General features: G+C 36.7%; 1 protein-coding gene across 12 annotated transcripts in view; it reads right to left on the bottom strand.

Annotated features, from left to right (window-relative positions):
• The window catches only part of NFKB1 (nuclear factor kappa B subunit 1), a 115,944-nt gene that overhangs the window by 20,906 nt on the left and 85,794 nt on the right, over positions 1-9,244 (bottom strand). For all 12 annotated transcript variants that reach the window (NM_001382626.1, XM_024454069.2, NM_001382627.1 and 9 more), the window contains 3 exons: positions 2,829-2,972; positions 1,416-1,505; positions 65-259 (listed from right to left, as the gene is read on the bottom strand). In NM_001382626.1, the coding sequence (NP_001369555.1) occupies positions 65-259; positions 1,416-1,505; positions 2,829-2,972 (429 nt within the window). The remainder of the gene's footprint in view (positions 1-64; positions 260-1,415; positions 1,506-2,828; positions 2,973-9,244) is intronic.

Here is a 9,244-nt window from a genome sequence, read left to right as displayed (position 1 = left end):
TTCTGCACCTAGGACTGACCCCTCCCCAGCCAACCAACAGAACGTAATTTGTGTGCTCACTTACCCTGAACTCCAGCACTCTCTTCTTTTGTTCCTGTTGCATACGTTAGAGTGACCTCACCATTCCCAACGGTGGCCTCGCTGGGCTCCTGATCTTGCTCTGTGGTTTCAATAACTTTCCCAAAGAGGTTTACAGTGTTTTTGTCATCACTTTTGTCACAACCTTCAGGGTCCTTTTTAGATTCAGTGTCCATGGTTCCTAAGATAAATGCAAAAACATCAGATTTTTCTCAGTAAAATGTATTTAGTGATAATTCGCTATTCCAATGTAGGTCAGATAAAGGTAAGAGACAAGTTTGCTGCAAAAGGAAAAGAAAAATAATAATTTAAAATTCTTTTAAAAATGGTCATATCATAAATACCATGTTTTGGAGATATTCTAAACTCATTTCTAAAAATCATTTTTAGTATACTTCTAAAATCTTAAATCTCATTTTGCTTATTTGTAAAGGAGAAAAATGAAATAAAGCTCTTCTATGAATTGCAGGAAAGCTGAATTTTTAAAGTTCTTGAAAACAGAGCAGTTTTTTCCTAATGCTAATGAACAAAGCAAATCATAAAGACGTGTTGTCGACTCACATTCTTTAGTGTGGGAGTTATCCAGTGTACCATTCCTGATCACCCTCTTTCAGGTTCAACTATGTTATCTGACAGATACTATGAGAGCATCTAGCTTTTCTGCAGGAGACCTGCTTCAAATTCTTGTTCTGCCACTAACTTCTGTGTGCCTTCAGTGAGTACGAACATTTCTGAACTTTGATGCCTTTTGTGTGCAAAATGGAGTTACTATTTTCCATATAGAGCAGTCATGAAGATAACAGTTAAAACATGTAAAAGCACTTGGCACAAAAATAGGTATTCAATAAATGGGAAGACTTCTTTATAGTATTATTTCTTCCATGGGTACACTAGAATGGACCTGTAATATAAACTATCAACATGTGGTTTAACTGCAGCTTCTCAGGGGATGACTTGATGGGAAAAGACCGATCCTATAAAACTCAAAATGATTTCAGAAGTGTACTATTTGAGAAAAAAAGAGACAGAATACATTAAGTTTGATGATGTTTAAAATATTTGAATAGTCAGGTCTCTGTTGTCTCTTTTCAATGCTCTTTTCTTTCCTCTGTTCATGCCACTTACAAAGTAAATATATAAAATATATAAAAGTAATAGAGTTTATACTAGCCACAGGAAATAATATCTTTTGGGAAAAGTATCTTCTTAGTTTATTTGCATTCATCAATTATTTGTCAAGATGATAATACTGTTGTGATAAGTAATGATTTTAAAAACCCTTTTTAGCATTAATTATTTTTTTCCTTTCTTGGTATTAAGAACAAAGCATTACTTACCATGCTTCATCCCAGCATTAGATTTAGTAGTTCCAGGATGGAAAGTAATCCCACCATAAGTAGGAAATCCATAGTGTGGGAAGCTATACCCTGAAACGGCAAGTAAAACAAATGAAACATCATGAAGATATTTTACAAAGACTCAGCACAACTTAGTGTCTGTCTCTCAGGTGAGCACAGCCTTTGGTGTGACAGGACAGTATTGTGCCCACACATGGTTTTTCTGTTGGGACTAAGACACATGGTGGGGGTCATGGGACTATCAGAATTCCACTTTGGTAAAGTTTACATGTTGGCAACTCTGACAGCACCCCAGATTTGGGGAGGGGTTGTAATGGAGAAAGCCTTCACTCCTATGTGAAGGGGAGAGGCTAATAGTGAGGGTCACCAACCAAACTCAGACTTGCCTATGTAGAAGACATTAAAATAACCCCTTGAGGAAAAAAACTTAATCAAACAAAGCACAGAAAAACATACTGACTCCTCAATGGAAAAATGGCCACCACTGTTCATTCTTAGGCATTTTTGGTGGAAGCATAAACTGGTACAACTCTTTGGGAAAACAGATGGCATTAGATGTCATGCCCTCTGACGTAGTAATTTTACTACAAAGACTCTAATTTACAAAAGTAATCTGGAATAAGTGAAAAGTTAGGTGGACAGAGGTTCAGTATAGCATTTTATATAGAAAACAGGAAACTACATGTAAGTAAGTTATACTATGGTTTGTTCACTTGAGGAAATGAGTCATTAAAATGATGCTTAAAATTTATGCTTAAAGTTCATATTACTGGAGGAAATGTTTATGTTAACATCTCAGGTAAACGTTGCACCTATGACTCTATACACACAGTCATGGTGCAAATGATAGTAAAATAGTATTGCAAATAAATGGATTAAAATAAAATGCATAATGATGATCACAGCTGTATTCAGGGTAAAATTTACAAATATATACTATAACATATACATAAAAATAGTAGTAGTTAACCTTTGATGGCAGATTTTATGTATTTTCAAAGTTTCTACAATGTAGTATATAGAGATGTTTAATATATAGCTATATTGTAGTATGATAATATACAATCTTTTCAATGTTTCCAAACAAAAACAAGACAACTATGTCAAAAAATGTAAAAGAGAAATATACCAAAATCTTTAGGAAGGTATTCATTAAATAACTGGCTTTGGGGTACTTTTTTTTCTTCTTAATGACTTTTGAGATTACCTACATATTGTAAAATGAACATGGATTTCTTTGAAAAATAAATTTACATTTGTCAGGAAATTTTAATTAATATACTCAATAATATCATAGCCACTCAACTCACAGACATGCTCAGAAACCAAAGAAAAGAAAATTCTACCCTCTCCAATATGAAAAAGTTTTAGGAAGAATAAGTATTTTTGTACCTGGACCTGTACTTCCAGTGCCCCCTCCTCCACCGCCACTACCAAACATGCCTCCGCCTCCAGCTCCAGCACCACTACCACCGCCGAAACTATCCGAAAAATTGGGCATGAGCTTCTGACGTTTCCTCTGCACTTCTTCTTTATCTGTATTTAAAGGAAGAGAAACCAGAGGAGAAAAGATTGATTTGGTCCCACCACTAGCCACAGAAAGACCACTGATTCTAATGGTATTTTTAAACATCTTAAAGGGAAATAGAAAGCACTCAAAGAGGAAGAGATGGTAAATTTCAAGAAGCGTTATATTTATTCCAATGGGTATGAAGGCTGAAAGTTAGCTCCAGAGAGACCACAGAGCAGTACACACCCAAATCCACTCTACAACAGTTTCTTAAGTCCCCAGTGTTGTTAAAACTAGTGAAATATTTGATTATCCATCAAAAAGATCCTGAAGATGCTGAATTAAAAAATTATTGACCCTTTTGCTTGGTCACACAAAATAACTCATGTTAAAAAGTTAACATTTATTATGCATCTACAATGAGCTAAATGCTGGAAATAAAAAAAAGCATGACATAATGTCTTTGCTGCCAAGAACCCTCCAACATAATTTTAAGATAGTGGGGGAAAGACTTAGTGAGACAGCACTATAACAGGACATACATTAAATTCATGGTGCAGATCAGTGTTCTAGGAGTTTGGGGAAAACCTTTTAGGAGTTCACTGAGGGATGGGAAATTCAGGAAAGGCTTCTCAGAATCAGTTTTATATAAGAAGAGGAAAAAGAAGATGTACACAGGGTGCTTTTGAGAACAGGAGTAGATAAGTTTGGCTGAAGTGAAAGTTTAGTACAGGCATGCCTCTGAGATATTGAAAGGTTCAATTCCACATTACTGCAACAAACCAAGTCACATGATGTTTTTGGTTTCCCAGTACACAAAAAAATTATGTTTACACTATACTATAGGCTATTAAGTGTGCAACAGAATGTCTTAAAAAGCAATGTACATATCTTAATTAAAAACACTTTATTGCTAAAACAGGCTAATGATCACCTAAGCCTACAGCAGGTTGTAATCTTTGTACTGGTGGAAGGTCTTGCCTCAATGTTGATGGCTGCTGACTGATAAGGGTGGTGGCTACTGAAGGCTGGGTGGTTGTGGCAATTTTTAAAAATAAGACAAAAATGAAATTTGTCAATTCACTCTTCCTTTCACAAAAGATTTCTCTATAGTATACAATGCTGTTTTGATAACATTTTATCCACAGTTTTAACTTCTTTCCACACTAGGGTCAATTCTCTCAAACACTGCTGCTGCTTTACTAAGTTTATGGAATATTCTAAATTATTGTCATTTCAAGAATGTTCACAGCATCTTCTCCAGGAGTAGATTCTATCTCAAGAAACTACTTTCTTTGCTCATCCATAAGAAGCAATTCCTCAACCATGAAAGTTAAATCATGAGCAGCAGTTCAGTCTCATCTTCAGGCTCTACTTCTCACTCTCATTCTCTTGCTATTTCCACCACATCTGCTGTTACTTCCTTCACTGAAGCCTTGAACCCCTCAATGTCACCCACGAGGGCTGGAATCAATTTCTTCCAAATTCTTATTAATGTAGATATTTTGACCTCCTTCCATGAATCACAAATGTGGTTAATGGTAAATCCTTTCCACAGGGTTTTCAATTTACTTTGCCCAGATTCATCAGAGTAATCACTATCTACGGCAGCTACAGCCTTACAGAATGTATTTCTTAAACAATAAGACTGAAAGTCAAAATTACTTTTTGATCCATGGGCTGCAGAATGGCTGTTAGTAGCCATGAAAAGATCTCCTTCAGAGCTCTTGGGTGACTAGGTGTATTGTCAATGAGCACTACCATTTTGAAAGGAATCCTTTTTTTTTCTTTTTTCTCAGAGCAGTAGGTCTCAACAGTGGGTTTAAAAATATTCAGTAAACCATGCTGTAGACAGATGTGCTGTCATCCAGGTTTTCTTGTTCCATTTACAGAGCAAAGGCAGAGAAGATTTGGCATAATTCTTAAGAGCTCTAGGATTTTCAGAATGATAAATGAGCACTGGCTTCAATTTAAAGTCACCAGCTGCATTAACTCCTAATGAGAAAGTCTGCCTTTTTTTTTTTTTTTTTTGAGCCAGGGTCTCACTCTGTTGCCCAGGCTGGAGTGCAGTGGTGCAATTATAGCTCACTGCAGCCTCGACCTTCTGTGTTCAAGTGATCCTCCCACCTCAACCTCCTGAGAGTCAGCCTGTTTTTAAAAGCTTTGAAGCCAGGCATTTCTACATCTTCTCTCTAGTTATGAAAGTCCTAGATGGCATCTTCTTCCAATGGAAGGTTGTTTCTTGTACACTGAAAATCTGTTTGGTGTGGCCACCTTCATCAATTTTCTGAACTAGATCTCCTGGATAACTTGCTGCAGCTTCTCTGTTAGCATTTGTTGCTTCACCTTGCACTTTTACGTTATCGAGATGGCTTCTTTTTTAAACCTCATGAACCAACCTCTGCTAGCTTCCAACTTTTTTTCTGCAGCCTCCTCACCTCTCTAAGCCATCATAGAATTGAAGAGAGTTAAGGCCTTTCTCTGGATTAGGCTTTGGTAAAAGGGAATGTTGTGGCTGGTTTAATCTTCTACTCAGACCACTAAAACCTTGGCTAACTGGCACAAGAGGCCTAGCTTTGGGCTTATCTCAGCTTTTGACATGCCTTCCTCACTAAGCTTAATCATTTTTGGCTTTTGATTTCAAGTGAGAGGTGTGACTTTTCCTTTCACTTGAACACTTGGAGGCCACTGTAAGGTTATTAATTGGCCTAATTTCCATATGGTTGTGTGATAGGGAATAGGGAAGCCTGAGGAGAGGGAGAGAGATGGAGGAATTGCCAGTCAGTAGAGCAGTCAGAACACACAGAACATTTATCGATTAAGTTTGTCATCTTACATGGACACTTCTTGTGGTACCCCCAAAACATCAAAGATCACTGTTCACAGATCACCATAATGGATATAATAATCATGGAAAAGTTTCGAGTATTGAGAGAATTACCAAAATGTGACACAGAGACATAAAGTGAGTACATGCTGTGGGAAAAATGGCACCAATAGACTTTCTTGACACTATTGCCACAAACCTTCAATTTGTAAAAATCACAGTATTTGCAAAATATAAAGAAACAAGCTATGACTGTATAAGGAATTCCTGAGAAATGGAACTGTTTGGGACAACACTGCGGAGCACCCGGAGAATGAACTTACAGGCAAGAAAGCTGCTGAATGTTTTTGAACAGGGAAATAATGTGTAGGGGATGGTATTTTAGGAAGTTCATCTTTTACGTGTGTGTGGGACATACTAAAGAGTTAAAGTGAGAGGCAGAGACAATGCGGACATAAGTGATGGAGGCCCATTCCTTAGTGGTCACCAGGATAATAAAAATGGGGTGGATGCCAGAAAAACAGTAACCAAGGGATCTGTAACCTCTGGTGACTGATGAGATACTGGGGCTAAAAGTCTAAGACCACTATTTGACTACAATACAGTGATGCCCTCTGAGACTTCTGATTGCTTTTCTTTTTGTTTTGTTTTCATCTTTCTGTTTCTCGCTATCTGTGCTTCTCACCAGCCCCAATGCCCTTTTGAGTTCCGTTACTGCCTATGTGGTGTTACTGTGTTCTTGTTTCTCCTTTCTGTTTCCTTTTCTTTCTCTTCTTTTTCTATCATATACCTTTCTTCTCTTTTTTTGGGCTGGAGCAGTTAAGGAGGTTTTATTTCGTTTTTTCAAATTAAATACAGTCAATGAGGTATTCTTTTTTTTGATTAGTGCTGAACCCTTAACAATTATTCTATTTCTGATTCTTCAATGTCAGTTTTGTCATGCTTATGTTCAGAAAGAACTTCGATTATTTCTAATTCTGTGGTTGTTTCAGTCATCTTAGGGCTAGATAGAAGGTCTCTGTTTACTGATTATCTCATGATCATCTAACTGCAGTTGAAAGATGAAGCAGGGGAAAGCAGGGTAACAAAGTACACTTTAATAGTTGTTTAAAAGCTGAGCATCTCCAGACTTCCCAGGAAAAAAAAAAAACCAAGGTTGCCAAATTTTGAGAAAAATATGCTTCCACTAGAAGGGGATGACCTTTAAGTGGAGAAACTTTGACTTACTTATCAAATATGTTTTAGATTCAGATTTATAATTTCCCCATCGGTTCTATCTTAACTAATTTACAGCTATACTCATTACTGTTCACTGCAGACATATGAAACACAAGAGGGAAGCAGGCAACTTATTTATCTTCAGAAATAAATGTTATCTATTGACATGGATTCCAGCAAAGAGACTAGTTAGTATTTTCTATGTATTCATTTTACCTTTTAAAGCAGAGAGATATTTATTGGCTGTATTTCACTGTAAAATGGGAATTTTAAGGGCAAAATATTAATTATAACACAGCTAGTAAGATTCCAATGACAAGAAACTGATACAGAACATTCCACATAAGCTTTATAAAAGAACCTGCTGTTTGAATCTCCACAGAATTGAATATGGAGACTTTCACACTCCATATTCAAGGGATCATTTATCCTTGCGGTCTGCTTTTGACAATGGCACCATGGGATGTACTATGAAACATCAACCTATTTTAGAAGGAACCAAAGCAGCCACTTACTACAAGTTCTCCTTTTGCAGGAGAGGAAACTGAAGCTAGGAGGGGTTAGGTGACTTATCTGAGGTCACAATGGAGTCAAGATCAGTCTCAAAGTGCAGTGATGTTTTCATTATGTTAGGCTGTCATTCTTTTGAAAACACTCCAAAATAGCTTTGTATAATAATAACCAGTGACTTTAATAATCAATGACTTTACATAACAGTTGATGACTTTAGATAATAGTTCAATTCACAAATATGGATAATCTCCTAGTGTTTGCTACCTATTTCTGTGCATGTGCCTTAAAAGTACCTCATTCTCACTTTTCAGGTTTTAGTTTACCAGTAAAGGTGACTGCATTTATCTTGGCCATACCTTTCATAATTTAAAGATTATTTATCCCTAATCTCCATCTTTCAGACTGAAAAATCATTATGGTCTCTTTTATTTTTTTTTTATTTTTTTTTGCTTTTGTACAGCAGTTCCTCAACTATCTTCCTCCTCTGCCAATCATCCTTCTCTTGATTATTTCGATCGTCTCCCCTGGACCCAACCATCTCCAATAATTTTTTGTGAAGTACAATGTTGATGACCATAGAGGATGCAAAGCTCCGGGCTGGTTCTGTATGATGCTTTATATTTATGTATAATGTCTTACCTGATGATACCCAACATATTACTAGCCTTATAGATGAGGATGGATGGCAGCTTGGCTGGTCAATCAATAAGTCAGTCCACAGATATTTAATGAGCATTTTCTATGCAACTTATACTGTTCTAGATAGTCTATGACCTAAAGAAGATTCTTTGTACTCGGGGTGGTAGGAAGACAATAGACCCATAAATAAATAGATAAGACAGGTTTACATATTGATAAAAATAATGAAGAACATAAAATTAGGCAATGAGATAGGGAATGACTACAGAGACTGGGGGTAAGGAAAAGTGTGTTCAATGACTTCTGAGAAATGTATGCAATGTTTCCCTGGGTTGTACAGTTTGGATCCATTTCTATCTACTTACTCTAATGCTAAATGGCCTACTACTTTTCTGACCAGTTATATTGCCTGGTCAGATTATTTCTCCTTGGTCCTATTATCTTGAGTTTTTATAATCCAGAAGGTTTCTATAGAATCAAGTAATTTGTTGTCCTCATATATATATATGTTGTCCATTCTTTCCTTCAGAGCTCAATGGGTAAGTATTTCTCCAGACAGTTCTTAAACTTTGTATTGTATGAAGCTTTTCATCAATGACAGCCTGGAAGGTAGGTGCATGAAGCATACAGGTGCAATTTTGAACTTTCAGGTGACCCCATTCTCTAATCCCTGCATTGGATAGTTCCTACTATGATAACGAGGCATTAAAGTAATCACCTGAATATACCCCCACTATAACATACTTTTCTGAGGCATAGATACCACTGGGAAAGGGAGACAGGCAGCCTAGATACCAAGCTGAGCTTTGAATGTTTCTAGGTTCATACACATACAGGTAACCTGGGTTTTCTTTCTTCATGATTCTCTGTGTTAGCAAAAACTGGCATTATTTGAAGACATATTTCTGGAGAAGAAATCTATTTTTTTCCTCAGAAAGTCTAAAAAAATTATCCATATTTTTCTTCTGTGTCTACTTTTAAAGAAGGGTGTTTAAATTAAAGCAGTGATTTTCACATCATTTTGTGTAGGCAGAAGCATTCAAAAGACCTCCAGCAGCTCCTGATAGGGAAGTAAGGAGAGGTGGGACAGCCTCTCGGAAG

The sequence above is a fragment of the Homo sapiens genome, chromosome 4 (genome assembly GCF_000001405.40).
Source record: "Homo sapiens chromosome 4, GRCh38.p14 Primary Assembly".
In the NCBI taxonomy this organism is placed as follows: Eukaryota; Metazoa; Chordata; class Mammalia; order Primates; family Hominidae; genus Homo; species Homo sapiens.
This window is presented reverse-complemented; position numbering and strand designations above follow the sequence as displayed.